We start from the raw sequence: 18519 nt of genomic DNA on the forward strand, positions 1-18519 counted from the left end.
CTTCAGTTAGTAATGTACAAAAGACTACGTTGACATGGTTAAATTTCTAGGACCCTCAGTTCTTTAGAGATGGGCTAAATGGCTAGTATAATTGCTTACAAAAGTGTCTTAAACTTGATGGAGCTTCTGTTGAAAAACAAAGTTTATATTTTTTATTTTTATGTTTTAGTTTCTTTTTTCCATGAACTTCCTAAAGTCCCCTTATATACAATGATGAACCTAAGATGGGTTAAGATGAAAATCTAAATGGTAAAATATTAAATGTAGTATAAAGTAAATACTCTGTGACAGCAGGATAAAGAGGTATTTTAAAAAAAAACTCAAAAGTTTAAACTTATATGGCTAAAATTGATGGATGTGATTACATGGAAACTAAATATTTCTGTTTCATTGAACATAACATAGACATAGTTTAGAGTCTGGTGACAAATTGTGAAAAAAGGACATTTTAAACATTCTAAACTGTCAGTATCTACAATATATGAGGAATTTCTGAAATTTCTCTTTCAGAAAGGAGGGAAAAAAACAAGAAACCCGATTAAAAAAAATGAACAAAGGTTAAAAATAAGCACTTTATAGAATAAAAATCTAAAAAGATCCACTAGTCTATAAAGAAAAGCACAATTTTTACTAATAACCAGAGAAATGCAAACTAGATCCATAGCGCAACATCATCTGAGTAAATTAAAAGCACATACATATACAAATCACTATATATTTTTCAAGGATATTTACACATCTATGACCATATATTACATATATTAGTGTTATTATTCTTGGAGATGAGAGACAACTGGGCTTGTAAACAATGAATGAATGGAAAAAAATATAATGAAACAAAATAAAATCCGGGGGGGGGGGGGGGCCTTTATGAACTGATAATAGAGTGTCACAGTCTAAGATGTATATGATTTCTTATCTATACCTGTGATTGAAAAAGATTGTCAAATTGTTTTAGATGCCTTGATACAATTCAATCTACATTTGGCTTCACCTTTATATAACATGAATGGTACATGTGCAGCCATAAAAAAGAATGAGATCATGTCTTTTGCAGGAACATGGATGGAGCAGGAGACTGTTATCCTCAGCAAACTAATGCAGGAACAGAAAAACAAATATCCCATGTTCTCACTTATAAGTGGGGGCTAAATGACAAGAACTTATGAACACAAAGAAGGAAACAATAGACAGTAAGGTCTACTTGAGGGTGGAGGGTGGAGGATGGGAGGAGAGAGAGAAGCAGAAAAGATAATTTTTGGGTACTGGGCTTAATTGCTGGGTAATGAAATAATCTATACAACAAACCCCCGTGACATGAGTTTACCTATGTAACAAACCTTCACATGTATCCCCAAACCTAAATTTTTTTTAAAAAAAGAATTGTACATATATCAGACAATATTAATTTTATTTTTGTTAAAAGTGTCCGAAAATACACAGAACATAAATAATGGTGGGCTCTAGGTGTGAAATCGTAGGCAATTATAATTTTATTTTCATGTATTATGTTTTATTTCATTTTTGTAACTTTAAAATTTCTAAATGAGTATATGTTACTTTAGTAGTAAGATATTCAGAGCTTCTTTATAAAACCAAAAAAAAAAAAGAATGTCTTCTGAGAAATTGCTGCTACTGCAATATTAAATTCAATTCTAATGCCTCTCCACTGTTACATGATTCTAGTATGGACATTTAAACCTGTGAGACATACTTATATTCAAATGTAAATACAAAAATCACATTATAAGGCTACACATTATTTTTAGTATTCACTATTTTAACCACCTATTTAAAAAAAAACAGCAAGGAATTGTAGATTGAGAGAGAGGGAGTGTAAAGGGAGGGAAGACAGAGGAGAAAGAGAGAAGAAAAGAGGAAGATGAAGAAGTGGGCAAGAGAGGGAGAGAAGAGGAAACTACCTGATTTTTAATCTAACCAATAAAACTACCACAAAATATTTCAGACCATAAAGTCCATAGCTCAGTATCCCAAATTGTCAGGAGTAATGACAAAGTGGTACTATGTTAAATATGTGAACAAAGAGAGACCAGGCACGGTGGCTCACGCCTGTAATCCCAGCACTTTAGGAGACCCAGACGGTGGATGACCTGAGGTCAGGAGTTCAAGACCAGCCTGACCAACATAGAAAAACCCCATCTCTACTAAAAACACAAAATTAGCTGAGCGTGGTGGCACATGCCTGTAATCCCAGCTACTCGAGAGGCTGAGGCAGGAGAATCGCTTGAACCCGGGAGGCGGAGGTTGTGGTGAGCCAAGATCATGCCATTGCACTCCAGCCTAGGCAACAAGAGCAAAACTCTGTCTCAAAAAGAAAAAAAAAAGATATATATATACACAAATAAAAATTGATAAGAGACTGGGCAATAAGACATACTTGAACATATTAAAAACAACCTGATATAAGCATCACTGAAAGTTTCTGTAAAAAAAATCGATAATAGGCTTCTCTCACCAATTTGTCTTGGTTGCTAGAGTTTAATTTTTGACTTACTTTCTGTGTATCTATGTGTCTGCATGTGAGTGTACTACCAAAATGGAGAAAGGGATCATTTCTTAGAATATTATTAACATCTATAATATCCCCCACACAGAGAGGTTCCCTTTTCCATATGCTTTATATGACAAAAGGAGTAATTGTCATTAGGAATAAAAAAGTAAACATTTTCACAAATACTATTTTAATGTGTAAAGACAGAATATTGTTATTTAAATAACTACATTATTAAACTAAAAACAGAAATCTGGATGTATGACTATTTCTAGTCATAAGCTACTGATTTATTGATGACTAAGAAATGTCACTAGCCATAGCATATTACATAAAAACATGAGATTCAAAATTGTTTTTTATAATTAACAGTCCTTAAACAACAAGAGTTTTCTCATTTTTCACTCTTAATAATAAACAGAAAAACTACCAAAAGTTGAGAGAGCAAAGTTTTGAACTCAATGGACATCTTTATTAGGCAGAGCCAGATAAAGACTCACCAGGACAGAATATATATGTAGACATCGATAAACTGGAGAGAAATCCACCAAATCTTGGGCCCCAGGTACCTGCAAACACAAGATTATAACAAAAAAATTCAAACAAAGCTATTAAAAGCAACTACATTAATTGTTACTACTCAAGTGTTTGGTTCTTTTTATAAAGGCCAGTTCTAGCTTGTAAGTGAGAAATACAAAACAAACAAAAAAATAGGTTTCCAAAGACCTAGTTCTTATGTTTTAGCCATAGAATTAATAAACCGTGAAGATATACACCAAGGCTGGCACAAAGCCCACAAGGATGGGTAGCAAAGAGAAACAGGTGGCACCAATCCTGCATTTGCCTTTAGAGATATATCTTTGACCATGGGACTCTAAAGGGAAAATAAGAACAATGTGAGAATACACCTTTCATGACGACTTTGATTTCTAAAAGACATGATAGTGTACATAAAAAACTAAGTTTTAGTAGTCAAAAACAAAACTTGCCACACAATATGAATCACGGCCTGCCAGCCAACTTCTGAAGAACACAAGAATTCGTCAATACTTAAGTCAACATGCAATCAAAATACAGAAATATGCTATGAAAAGAGGGGAGATTATGTGAAAAATAAGACAAAGAATGGAAAAGTCAAACCAAGAAGTAATACCAACGTATTTTAATGTGAATAGTGTATGTTAATTAAACCTAGACATCAAAAGAGAAAGTAAAAGAAAAAAACATCAGGTAAGAACTGGAGTCTAGTTTCAATGCCAAAATTGATTTGCTATGTGATCTGACAAGAGTAATTCATAATTTGGTCTCGACTACCTAAGTTGAAAAAAAAATCAGCTGATTTATAGGGATTTAATAATAAAAGGAAATATTGAAACTAAATGTTGAACAAAACAAAATAAAAAGAAAATGAAAAAATTACATAAAGAAACATTCAAAATAAAGACCTACCAGTTTTTACTATAACACTGGTAACTATATAATTCATCAGAATATAAGCAGTAGGCACATCTAAATTGGGTAGGGCTGATTCATAATTACAAGGTCATTTTCCCTTATTTCATAAAGTAAACCTCATTTCTTCTTTTGGGGCATAGCTTCTTTACCAAGATACTTTTCTTAATGAAATCTACTAATTCTAAAATTCAACAGCACAACACCTATGTTGTTTTCCTTCTGGAACCATCACACCTTTATATTTATGGGTTCAAACTTATTGACTATTCTGTTCATCTGCTTCGCACCCATGAGAGCAAAGATTAAATCTCTATATTTAAGTTCCTTGATAGCACTGTATACTCTGTAAGCACACAACAAACTTTTAAGTGAATCTAAAAACTGATAGTAAGATGGTCAATATCCTATACCATGGTCCAAGAATAACTTTACTTTAAAAAAAAAAAAAAGTTTAAGAAGAGGTAATGAGCATTGCAAATTACTGAAAAAAAATATGGAGAGATGTGCAGCATGCAGTTTAAAAACAATAGGATTAAATAGCATATAAAAATTGTATGAGTGCAAATGGACACTCATTTTCATCTTAATAACACAAAGAGTCCACAGGTGATCATTTTAGGCACCCTTATTTGAAATGATCACAACACTAAAACATCTTTACAGTCTCCTCTTTCGGACTGCAAAGTAGAGACCCAAAGGAAATTTATTTTATCTTGACAGAAAACCAGAGTCTATTTTATCTTGCCAAAATATGAGGAAAATTTCTTTTATCTTGCCAAAAAACCAGAGCCTACAGCTAAGCAAAACACATTCTCAAAAGAAGAAAAATTTTAAAACATCAAACATGATATTCACAATAGTATTTAAACTATATAAAAACTACACATGCATATGAAAAAAATATTTAAAAGTTTGATCTGTATAGGAAATGACACGTTTTTCTTTTATTTAGAATTAATGATTTTTAAATTCTTTGTTACATATTTACAAAAAGTTTAAAGAATTTTTCTTACATAATTTTGAGTAGCAAATTCAATCATAATTTTGTTTATATGTTCTTCTTCATGTAGCTTATTTTGTTTAACTTCATCTCAGAACCATAGTTTCACTCAAAAGGAAACTGCTTGTAGCCATTCCTCAGACAAGGCCTTAGCCCTTTTATATGTCAGACCCATCCTTGTAGAATGAACATCTAAATTAAGGGAGAATTTCCCTAGAAATCTGTGATAAATAAGCTAACACAGCCACATAACAAAGACGTTTTGTTACTAATGGGCTAAGACTGGTTTATCTGGGCATACTATTTAAAAAAATGGATATATTTAGAAAGGAGACAAAGGCCACTTTTTGTCATCTCCAACGAATATTTACAACCAAATCTATTCTCTCTGAGGCTGTTGTGACATCATTCTATCAGCTTCAAACTGGCTAAAGTGCTCTCACTTGTAAGTATTGTCTCTTATTTCTTAGCCACTGGAACCACCATCCAGTTAAGTCTTCCTAAGCATAAGACTGCCTGCTTTGAAAGCAGTACACAGAAATCTAGACAAAAAGAGAAGGGAGTAAAATGGGGCTTCCGTTCACAACCTTTACCTCTACTCCCAAAATAGCCTAATATTTAGAAATCATTTTTCCTCTATGCTCCCCTCTGTGAAGAACACTAGGAATGAACACTGTGAGGAACCAAGAAGAGTGCTGTGAGGATAAAGCTATGTAAAGTATGCACTGACTCATGTTGCTTAGTGCGAGATGTGTTTTCTCTGCTGCCACTAATGAAAAAAAATCACAACTACAGAAAGGCAAAAGGAGAAGAGCAACATACATTGGATGTGAAGGAATGCTACAGGTTTGGAAGAATAAGAAGTGAACTTTCAAAAATCTAAATAAAAAGGGGTGGGGAAGAGTATCAGAAGAAAATGTAGTTTTTCCCTACTCACAGAAATGGGTTGTTTTAAGGTCCACATCTTGATCTCCATTTAAAATACTAACTCTCTGTCAAAGCTATATTCATACTTCTTCCTTTTCTTTGACCCTGTCTCCCCTCAAGTTGCAAAGAATGATTCAAGCAGGTTTAGGTTTCAGCTGGGGCAGAGGGAGGGGTCCAAGGACACTTTCCTAAGCTAACAATAACTTTCTAATGGTTTCTGTCTCCTAACAAAAGCCATGACTCCTTCTTTATCAGCTTCATCTAATTTTTCCTTTCCAAAGAAAATAACACAGCCCTTGCATTTTACACATGTCCAAATTTGACAAATCATTATCGACTGCAACTATAACTGATAAGAGATAACTTTGTGGTAGGACGTTGTCATTTCCTCTCATAAGGGCTTTCTTTCTGAGATACAGAAACATGATTAGAATAGTTAAACATTTCCTCTGCCTGGCAGTCAGGAACTCAAGACTTTAAGATACTGGAGTCTGTATTTTTCTAGAAGTTCAAATACATCTATGAAGATACAAATAGTAGCCACAAATAGTATATTCAAGATTATCCTGCTTTTTTAACTAGTTGTTTTCCTTAAGAATTCACGTGAAATAGTTTCATCACCAAGGACAGCAGCTGCCTAATTCCCTAATAGTTTCTGAATGGAGAGCATTAGTGCCTTTTGCCAGTTCAAACCTTTTTCCAGAGGATCAAATAGTAGGTAAGATTTTACATTCTATAACTAAGATATCTGTGCCTCAGAGCATATTATAATATTACATAAACTAAGAGAACTAGGATACATTTTTTAATAACGGATAAATAACGAGCTAGTAAAAGAATTTGAGGATGCCTGAACTTCAGTATCCAGAGGTAGATATAATGGAAGCAACTATTACATTCTTCTATAAATACACATTCACAATTAGAGATCATTGATAGATTAGGCACATGAATTGGTATCTAATGGATCCTACTGGCATCCACGTTTGGTATCCACTAGATACCAATACATATGGCTAATCTGTTCGTTTCAATACATGATTCTTACATTTTTATAATACCAATTAACAGCTTCAATCAAAGCAATAGTTCCTAGTTTTTGTTTGTGGAATATATTTGTTGTTAAATAGCATTTATATTCTATAAATATGGCACCTAACACATGGGACCAATGTATAGATGACAAAAAAGAGTCTGAAAATAGAGGATGTTACAAAATAAATATAAACTTTAAAATGGGATTAATCAAAGGCCCCCTGAAAAAATATTATGAGCCCCACAGATAATATTTACTACAGAAGATATACAGATTTAGCATAGATATGGGAATATTAGATGATGAGGTGAAAAGAAACATCAACATTTCTGATTACAAAAATTTTTACAAAACGCCAGGATGTGACTTTTAGGATATCTTTTTCTTCTTCTCTAGTACATCTTAGTTCAGGTAAAAGAAAGTCTCTAAGAACGGAAAAGTAAATGGTTAAGTTCCTCTCATGGCACATGAGGAAAACGCCTTTACATATTAAAAAAAGGATATTTTGATTTTTAAAATGCATGATGCCATTCAAGTTTTAACAGATATATTCATTTAATATTTTTCTAACCCTTCCCCCAAAAGGATTCAGAGTTCATAAATATTTTCTACTATTTTAAAAGACTCACTAGTGAAGGAAGGCAGGAAAGAAAAATTATCTGCAGGTAAAAATATGATAACTCTACCAGCTTTACTGCTGGGTAAGCATACCCTTAGAAAAGGGGAATACACTATAAGAAAAGATTGCTTGCCTCCCTCTGCTCAAGAAGAGGAGCGATATACTATGACAGATTTACCTCTACTGCTGATAAAGACAGCACATTAAAATAGAAATGCATTAGTACACTCCAGCCCTATTGTTCCCACAGCTGCACCAGAAGATACACAAATACACAGACACACACACTCTCTCCCTCATACACCTACACGGCATTTATTTTTCTCTTAAGAAGGCTTTCAAAGTAGATGGATCATCCAAAAAGAGTTTGACAGAGATTTGCAAGGAATTTAGATATCTTTCTCACTAATTATTTGAGTACAAAATAGTTTCTCCGTATCGGTAAATGAATGCAGGGACTTGGTGCCCATTTCTGAGCATTACTTAGATCTCAAGTCATTAAAATGTACCAGGCATTTTTCTGCAAAGAGAAGACAACAAATGATTAGCTGAAGGAGCACTGACTTTGCATTCAGAGGATCAATTTTGACAGCCCATATTATGTCTATAAGCCAGGAAATGTCTGGCAAACATTTTTCACCAGTGTGCATTTCAGAACTATGTTGCTTCCCAAAATTCAGAGAAAAGAAGGGTAGAATTCATTTGGATATGAGCTTTTATGCAGCTAGACTAAACACCACAGAAACACCAACAAACTGGAAGGCCTATAATTTTAAGTGACTAGAATTAGCAAAAGCATAAAGAATTTTCTAAACCTTTGAGCATATAAGAATACTGTGGCCAGAACCCTATCCTAAAAAAGCACAAAATTATGCCAAGGAGCTTCTCACAAATTATTAGGATTCTTTCTGAAAAATCCCTAAGCAGATTACCACTTATTAATTACTCAAGTGTTTGCACTAAGCAGAACAAAATCAGGAAAAACCACCATTTCTCCTTACTGAGGCACTGCAAAAAACCTGTGCCCAAAGTCAAAGGATAGTCCCTCAAGAATTCTCTGCTTAAAGCTGAACACTGAGGGCCAGGCATGGCGGCTTACACCTGTAATCCCAGCACTTTGGGAGGCCGAAGCAGGTGGATCGCTTGAGCCCAGGAGTTCAAGACCAGCCTGTGCAACATGACGAAACCCATCTCTACAAAAAATTGCAAAACTTAGCCAGGTGTGATGGCACATGCCTGTACTCCCAGCTACTCAGGAGGCTGAAGTGGGAGGATCGCTTGAGCCTGGGAGGACGAGGCTGCAGTGAGCTGAGATCATGCCACTGTACTCTAGCCTGAGTGACAGAGTGAGACCCTGTCTAAAAAAAAAAAAAAAAAAAAAAAAAGCTGAACACTGGTGAAACAAAAATTCAAGTGGTCTTTATTTAACAAGGGTCCACTATATGCTATGAAACTCTAAACCTTTAGGCAAAAGAGGCAATTTTGCACTACTTGGTATTAAACGTAAAAGGTCTGGGAGGATAAAAAATTAAGATGAGGAAAAGTAGGTTAAAATCGCTACATTATTATAGGTAAAGAACAAATATCCCTAATATATAGAGAACCAATAATGAAGAAAAAAACCAAAATCATTCAAAAAATAGGCAAAAGACATAAGCAGTTTATGAAAAAGATATACAACTAGCCCTGAACCTTATTAAGATACTCAACTTTACCCACAGTGATAGGAATGAAAATTAAAACTACAAAGAGATATGTTTCTTATCTATGAGAATGGCAGAAATTCAAAAGCTTAAAATAAATACTCTCTTAAAGAAGCTGTAAGAAAATAGGCAACTCATGCATTGCTGGGGTGGGTGGTGGGGTATAGAAAATAGTACAACCCCTATGGAGGAGAATTTGACATTATCTAACAAAATTATACGTGCATTTACCCCTTGACTCAACCATCCTGCTTCTGGGAAACTACCCTGAGGATATAGCTCCAACCACACGGAAAAAATAGTTCTCAGGTTTTGTTTTGTTTTTTTTTTTAAGTTTTAAAGTGTTTTGCGTATGGTAAAATTCACTCTTTCTAGTAAACAATTCTGTAAGTTCTGACAAATGCATATAGACCTGTAATCATCATCATAATCAAGATAAGAAGAAACAGTTCCAGCACTTCCCAAAATTCCCTATGCCCCTTTGTAGTAAAATTGTTTCCTGATGCCTAGCCCTTGGCAAACACTGATCATTTTCTATCTCTAGAGTTTTGACTTTTTAGGATTGTCATATTGATAGACTCATATAGCATGTAGCCTTTTGAACCTGGCTTCTTCCATTGAACATAATGCATTTGAGATTCATCTGTATTGTTTCATGCATCTGCCGTTTATTCCTTTTTATTTCAGAGTGGTACTTCAATTATGGATATACCACAGTTCATTTATCCCTTCATGCATTGAAGGACATTTGGGGTGTTTCTAGTTTTGGTACTATATGCACAAAGCTGCTATAAATATTAAGCTTCAAGCTTCTGAGTGAATATGCTGGTTCAATACCCAGGAGTGGGATTGCTAGGTCATATATATGACCACTCCTGGCTGTATGTTCAACATTATAATAAACTGCTAAACTGTTTTCCAAAGCGACTCTATCATTTCACATTTTCACAGAAATATATGAGTTCCATTTGCTCTATATCCTTGACAGTACATGGTAATGTCAGTTTTTTTTATTTTAGGTATTCTAATAGCTGTACAGTTAAAACACTACTTTTTAATAAGAAAACATTGGAAATCATTTAGTGTCCATGTATAGATTAGCTGAATAAACCATGGTACATCCAAACAATGGAGTACTATTTAGCAGTAAAAATAGAATGAGAAAGATTTCTATGAACTGATATGGAATAATTTTCAAAATATATTTCAAATAAACAAAGTACAAAAATATATATGTATTATGCTATTAATAATTACGTTGCTTGAGGTAAAATGAAGGGGATACACACAAAAACTAACAACACTCATTACTTACAAAAGGTGGGTAGGAGCAGTGTGGAAAGGATAAGGATGAGAATGGGATTTCACTGAATATATCTTCTTATATAGTTTTGCCTTTGAATCATGTTCATATTTTAAATAGTCAAAAAGTTAAATAAGGATAGTTGAACCCTAAAAAATAATACAAAAAGAAACAAACGAACCTAATTATATATCAATTTGGTAACAATCAAACAGAAGAAAAAAAAATTAGCCAAAAGCGTTTGAACATAGTACTCTGAACTATACAGATTTAGTGGGATACACTGTAGGATCAAAAGAACTGTGAAGAAATCTTGAACTTAATAACTTTATTGCTTTTAGTGACATTTGCATAATTCTGCAACTATTTTCTGGGTATTATATAATTATCCAAAAGATTAAATATGCTGATACTCTGGAAACCAGAATATTTGCAAATACAAATACAGAATGACAGAAAAGACTTACTACATTAGATTGGAATTAGAAGTACTAGCTTTAACTCGTGATTTATTTTTTTTAAGTCTACACATTAATGTAGCAGGTGTATTTCTTAGCTCTGTCCACAAAAGGGGTATACCTAATGCCCATGTTAGTTTCTAAATATCATTCTCCAGTAAAAGAAATTAGAACTCTCTGAAGAAACGGCTGATGCCAGGGCTAGGGCAGAACCTGGAGTTTCTTGTGGAAAAGAAGAGAAATTAAAGAAAAGAGCAGAGCTCAAAAACTGGATGGATAATTTGGAACAAGTGGAAAATGAAAATGAAAGACAAGATGGAATATAACTCATTGTATATAAAATGATTATCCATGTGCCCATACTAACACTACAAAAAATAAGGGGAGAAAAGGAAAGTTTTTTATAGAAGAATGCTGACTCATAAATGTGAAAGAAATGATAAAAATAGAAAATCACAGCATCTTATAACAACTATAGTAACATATGATTCCAGAAAGTGGCATCAATGAGTTCTAAAACCAGTGGGTAACAAGCTGTTAGGGAACAGGATAGTCACATGGTCTAATGTATTACTAATTACAAAGTGGGACGGGTACCTTTATGGTGAAGAAATCTAGTGAACACCATCTTAACCAATGTATGCCTCCAGATGTGATGCAATGAAATGAACTTAATATTACCTTTGTAATATTCCTGCCAAAAATGATTAACCTGACTCTAGTCATGAGGATACAACGAGATGTACCTGAACAGATGGATATTAAGGGAGACTAAACAGACATAAAAATCAATGTGTAAAATTTGTCTTGATGTGGCTGCAAGGAAAAAAACGAAGGAAAAAAATCTGCTAGAAAGAACATTATTGGAACAACTAGAGATAGTTGTATAAAGGTTGTATATTAAGTGGCAGTGTCACCATCAATGTGAAATTTCCTGATGTAATCACTGTATTATACTTATGTAGAAGAATGTCATTGTCAGGAAACACAGATTACAGTATTTGGAGTTCCAAATATTATGAATGATGCATGCCACTTTCTTCCAAATGGCTCAGTTTTGGGAGAGAAAAGAAACATACACATACACACACACGCACGCACGCACACACCTATTCTTTCAAAATCAAATTTTTCAGAGAGAGGAAGCGTCAAGTTTTAATAAGTGGACTATTTAAGTGAAGCGTATATGGATACCATATGTGTAACTTTTCTGAAGATGTAAACTTCTTCAAAAGTAAAAGAAAATTTTTAAAAGACGCTATTACAGAAGAGGTAAAATTGAGGGGTCCTTCAGATAAAAGTAGAATAAGGCATTCTTGGCAAGAAGAAGGGGGTAAAGGATTATATTCCACAGTTGCAGTTACTAGCAACTTAGTGCAAGGTGAAGTTTTTTGAATAATCAATGAGAATATAAAAGAGAAATTCTACAAGACCTGAAAAGAGAGGTAGAAGTTTATAACTGAGGCAAATGATTTCAAAATAACAGGGCACTTACACTATCACCACAAAAAAAAAAAAAAGAAAAAAACCTTGAGTTGATGTGAGTCCTAATATATCTTTACCAATGGATAGACCTAAAAGATCAAAGACTGGGAATAAGAAAACCAAAACAGAACGTCTAAAGCATGCCATAATGTTTCCATTCAACCTTCTAAATTGTCCTTTTGGTATTTCATTATATATATGGGCACCTACTTTTGACTGCATATGTCCTTAATAGGCCAGCTTTCATTAAGAAGTTAAAATTCAAAGCCTACAGGTGTCAATGGGTATTGGGATTAAGTGATGGATGCTGGCAATTTTAAATCATATTCTCTTAATAGACATACTTTGTATATGAAATATCAAGGACTATTACTTATTTTTACAAAGCACAACATTATTTTTTTTTCACATCAGTGTGGCCCCGTCAGTCTGTTTTTTATTTTGCCATTTTTTTGGATAGACACCCAATATAAGCAGTATTATATTTTTGTCATCACATTTAAACCATATCCCTGACGGCAACACTGCTACTCAAGGCCAGTCTATTACTACCATGCTTAGAAAAAACTAAATTAGAAATCTAGATTTTTATGTGAATCTAATTGACCTGCAGAAGTTGGCAACTAATTTAAAAATTTTTAAGCATTGTGTAGGCCAACAACCAGTATGCAAGCTGTTTCTGGCCCATCGGTTGCCAATCTGCAACCTCTGGTTTAAACTCTAAACTTCTAAAGGCAGCCTTTATTTAAGTTTAAGTTTAAACTCTAAACTTCTAAAGTAGCCTTTAACTTATCAAGGAATCATCTTCATTTTCTGTTACCTTACTGTCAATAGAAAGTTTTACAATCAATATTTTGAAATTTGGGTCAAATATCACAACCACTATTTTTTTACAAGCAATTTGACATAATTATTGTCACTATTTCATAGGTAAGAAAAGGGATGCTGAGAGAAATTACATAATTTGTCCCAATACCACAAAGAAAAAAGCTTGTACATTCTAAAATAAATCTTTTTTGTATACTTTCCAAACACCCTGTGTTATGACTAAATTGTGTTATGACTATAATTGTGCTCCCCCGCAAATTCCTATGTTGAAGTCCTTAGTCCCAATGTGACTGTATTTGGAGACTGGGCCTTTAAAGAGGTAATTAAAATTAAATGAAATCATAAGAATGGGGTTCTAATTCAATAGGACTGGTATCCTTATAAAAAGAGGAAGACACACATTATAAAAAGAGGATGTAAGCAAAGAAAAAAACTGTATGAGGATACGGCTAGAAGGCAACTATCTGCAAGCCAAGGAGAGAGGCCTTAGGAGAAACTAACCCTGGTGGAACCTTGATCTTGGACAGCCAGCCTCCAGAAATGTGAGAAAACAGATTTTTGTTTAAATCACCCATTCTCCAGCATTTTGTTATGGTAGCCCTAGCAAATTAATACATCTCATTACTTCAAAATTACTACAGCACAACAATAATCAAGACATCCCAGAAGGCTTTCTATTACATGGCATTTGTATTTAAATTAACAATTCCCTCCTGTTGATTCTATACTTCAAAAGAGACACCAAAATCTAGAGAGATAAATCTGACATGAATCATTTGGTCAACAAATATTTATGTGACCCATACTCTATGACAAGTGGTGTGGATGACATGGTTACCACTGTTCCTTAACAGTTGGTAAATAAATTAAGAGAGGTACACACTAGAATATGTGACATGTCATAAATGTGGTATCAATGAAGTATTCTAAGAATGCAGAAGCTCTGAAGTAACCTAGAAACAAAGTAGAAAAAATACGCCCTGCTTTTTCAAACTATTTCTTAATACTGCTTTATTTCAGCAGATTTTTTTTGTTTATAGTAGATGATGTTCATCAGTCCATGCAAATATACATTGTCAAAAATTAGATCAACTTATAGTTCACCTTTATTCAAAAAAGCACATGGTCATAATGCCACAACAGTAACTATTATATACTGATAGTCCTGTATGTACAAGGACTGTGACAAAGGCATTATATACATTATTTCATTCAATCCTCACAACAAGCCTATTCTCAGTAGATATTATCACCCTCCTTCTCAAAACTAATATGTTATCTTGAGGGCTTCCTTGCATTTTATCTTCAAATATCTCAAAATTGATATTCCTGATGAGTCTAGATCCATAAATACATTCTCAATCTAAAATGTTAACTACTTCTGATTTTTTTTAAGTTCTATCTAGATATTTAGAGAAGAACATTAACACCTGCATATGCCCACAGGGTGATTTCAATCCCAATTTCCTAAATCATATTTCCATTAAAAATCAATTGAATTGGCTGGGTATGGTGGCTCATGCCTGTAATCCCAGCATTTTGGGAAGCCAAGGCAGGAGGATCACTTGAAAGCTCAGGAGTTTGAGACCAGCCTGGGCAACATAGTGAAGCCTCATCACTCCCTCTTTTTTTTTTAATCAATTGAATTAAGCTGTTGATCAGAAATGGTTAAATATCAGCAGCTTCATATAGTCCAACCTTAATATATGATTAGTTTTTTTAAAACAAAAAAAACCTCATCTTGTGACTCTTTTATTAGCTTAGCCAATAATAAAATAAAAATAGAGAACTTTACTAGAAATACGTTTCTTTATAACACCCTTCAGCAATCATTAAGAGACTGACTCTTAAACTTCAATAAGCTGAGGGTGGGGAAGAGAAAAAAAGAAAGACTGATTCCTTCAGATGGTTCAACATGTAAGTTGTTTTTTCATTCAAAATGACAATTTACTTTTGAGACTTCATCCTCAGTTCCCCAGGCTGTTAAGCTTTTCCCATTTCTAGTACAAACTTTATTTCAGGTTAACAATGTATTAACTGTCTATTTACCATGTGTAGATCCATGTTCTAGGTGTTTAGCTTTTCCTACCCACCTTATTCCATGATCTCCTCTTATGCATCATTAAGCTAAAGACACAGTAATAGCCTTAAAATGTTATTCAATGAAAAAAATGTATTAAGTATATTTGCATTGAAAGCACAGGAAAGGGTAAAAAGTTCTTCACAGAGTAAAGAAAGTACCTAAACTTGTTAAACTAGAATTATAAAATTTTATTTAAAATGCTGGTAATACATAAGCAACAGATTTTAGAAAGCAAACTTAACTTTCTCTTCAAGTACTGTATTTATTGCCAGAAAAAAGTTTAAATCATATTTAAAAAAAACAATAGAAGACCCAAACATTCATTTGTTTGTTTTATGTATATACTAAAAAAGCTTTGTCATGTTTCCATATCGTCTTGTAACTCCAAGTGTGCTCCAGGGACCAGGAGCTCCATCCTCACCAGGGACCTTGTTAAAAAATGCAGACTCAGACTCATTCTCAACCTGTATAATCACAATCTGCATTATAATATGCTTCCCAGGTGATTCCCATGCACATTAAATGTCAAGAAACATTGTTGGACAAAACAGTTCTTAAGTTGGGTCCTAGGGGTAAAATGAATTCCACAAACCCCCTGAAATTTCATGCAAAACATTTTGTGACAGAATATATGTACGTTTTACTGGGAAATGACTCCATATATTTTTATCAATCTTTCAAAGTAATACATAACCCCAAACAGATTAAGAATGACTGCCATACAGGGATTCTATGCCACAGTTACCATGCTTACAGATTAAAAGTCACAATATTCCAAAAACTATGCAGTTCTCAATGAGGTCTGTTGAAGAATGACAAGAATGAAGGTCAGAACGTCACAGTGGGTCACGAAAGACCTTATCTGAAGAATTTATTCACACCATGCAAGAACTATGCCAAGAAACCAGTTTGGAAACATCTAAATAAATAATTCTCTACATGAGGTTTGAGATTAAGAATGTGCACTTGAAGAAGATTCAAACTGAGAAGTAAATAAATATAAGGTAGAATTTTTTTTAAGATAGAATGCCATTAGATGACAGTGAAGTGCCAAATTTTTGTTTTAAGAGCTCAATCAGCAAATCTTTAATATGAATTGCTTGATTTGAGATATGGAACCATTTAAAAATATTAACTTCCAAGTACATTCTTACAGTACTACTTTTATGAGAAACCTCCAACACATTTTACTAGTCTCACTTTCCTCATCTTCTCTGGACCTCACAGGACAAGGCAAAGAAGGAGCATGGCACAAAAATTAAAAGGAACTTACCCAGGATCTTCAATAGGTCAATGATAAAGAATGGTTTCCTTTCATATATCATGGTTTCAATGATATATAAGAACTGTGTATATATTTTATTTTTCATCTTATCATCTAACCATCTCTTCAGGTACTGTATTATCCAAGGGCACAGACTATGTCTAGCCCATAAGCCACAGTATCTGACAGAATTCCATCTTGTTCATGGGTACTCAAAATGTAGATTAAAGGAGTTAGTTGGTCCTTCTTGAGACTGATGCGTTATTGTGCAACTACTGTGACTGATCATCTGTGATGGAATCTAATATCTGAAAGTTTGTCCTCCAGGGTGGATCCACATCTTAATAAGCCAGTCATTCCAGGCAAGAAGGGAGAATGCTAGAAAACATTCAGGGGAATGAAGTCCCCTCTATCTCTTTCTATCTCCATGAGTCATTAGGCCAATAGTTGGTTCATTTTACTTTAAAGTGGCCCAATAGATAACACTCAAAAGACTTTTCTTAGCTCTATTAAGAGCTATTAAGAGTTCTTGCAATCCATGTGCAATAGGGATAGGATGAAACTTTCAAGCATTATTAACTATTAATGTACTTCATTTACATAATAAACATATCCTAGTACAATATAAACTTTAAAAATGATAAATAAAATTATTCACTTAAATAGCAGAAGTGTGTCCCCTCAATAATGAAACGTATATAAAAGAATGTAGTAGTTTACGGCTGGGTGCGGTGGCTCACGCCTATAATCCCAGCAATTTAGGAGTCCGAGTCGGGTGGATCACGACGTCGGGTGATCCAGACCATCCTGGCTAACATGGTGAAACCCCATCTCTACTAAAAAATACAAAAAATTCACCAGGCATGGTGGCGGGCGCCTGTAGTCCCAGTTTCTGGGTAGGCTGAGGCAGGAGAATGGCGTGAACCCAGGAGGCGGAGCTTGCAGTGAGCCGAGATCGCACCACTGCACTCCAGCCTGGGCGACAGAGACTCCATCGCAAAAAAAAAAAAAAAAAAGTAGTAGTTTACATTCTTATGATAGCTCCTGTTCTATCAAACTTAAATGCTAAGGTTGTAGACATAAAAATAACATCTTTATTTGTTTTTCAGCTCAAATAGTTTAAACATTGCCAATTCAACTTTTGAAGTCAAAGAGGAATAATAATAGAGGCAGGCATAATGACAATAGAGATACATAACAGAAGTCAGCAAGGAAGAGTAATGAAGATAGAACAGAAACCAATGTTTTCTCACCACCCTTTAAGGAGCAGGGATTTGTGAAATCCTATGGGGTAGAGACTACTGCCTCTACTTAATAGGTGAAGACACTCAGTTTAACGATTAAACAATTTATCCAAGACTACAAAATTAGGACAAGTTTTGGGGAAGAGAGAAAAGCACGAGAGTAGTAAGGGTATAACAGGAGACAAGTATGGGGAAGAAATAGTGAATCCAGTTTTATCTGGAGAAAGGAAACAAGCACTTACAAAAAAAAGGCTACTGAGTACAAGAGTAAATGATTCCTTACATGTCAGTGGCCATTTTAAAAGTAAATGATATGATTATTAATAATTTTTTAAAACTTAAATGGCAGAGCCAGAATTTGAATACAGTCAGACTCTAAAGCTCATGCTCCTAAACACCACACTCACAAAGAGACATCCAGTTAATGCAAATGATAAATATTTAGAAAAAACATTTTAACAGGAAGTCTCAAAGGTCATAATAGTTTTATTTTTAAAAACACATTAAACATACTTCTAACAACAAAGAAAGATAGAAAAATATGTACTAGTTAAGGCACTTAATCTTATTCTTCCCTGACAGTGACACAGAACTAATCTATG

At 34.0% G+C, this 18519-nt stretch overlaps 1 protein-coding gene across 12 annotated transcripts in view; it reads right to left on the bottom strand.

The window, feature by feature from the left end:
- The window catches only part of EXOC6B (exocyst complex component 6B), a 650050-nt gene that overhangs the window by 380457 nt on the left and 251074 nt on the right, over window positions 1-18519 (bottom strand). For 11 of the 12 annotated variants that reach the window (NR_135774.2, NR_135773.2, XR_007071495.1 and 8 more), the window contains one exon: window positions 3013-3081. Coding sequence is in view for 8 of the 12 variants with exons in the window: in NM_001321734.2 (NP_001308663.1) it covers window positions 3013-3081 (69 nt within the window). In the remaining 4 variants the exon portion in view is untranslated. Of the gene's footprint in view, window positions 1-3012; window positions 3082-10567; window positions 16900-18519 lie in introns of those variants that run through there. The other variant, XM_017003642.2, reaches the window with a different exon arrangement.

Source organism: Homo sapiens, chromosome 2 (assembly GCF_000001405.40).
Source record: "Homo sapiens chromosome 2, GRCh38.p14 Primary Assembly".
Taxonomy (NCBI): Eukaryota; Metazoa; Chordata; class Mammalia; order Primates; family Hominidae; genus Homo; species Homo sapiens.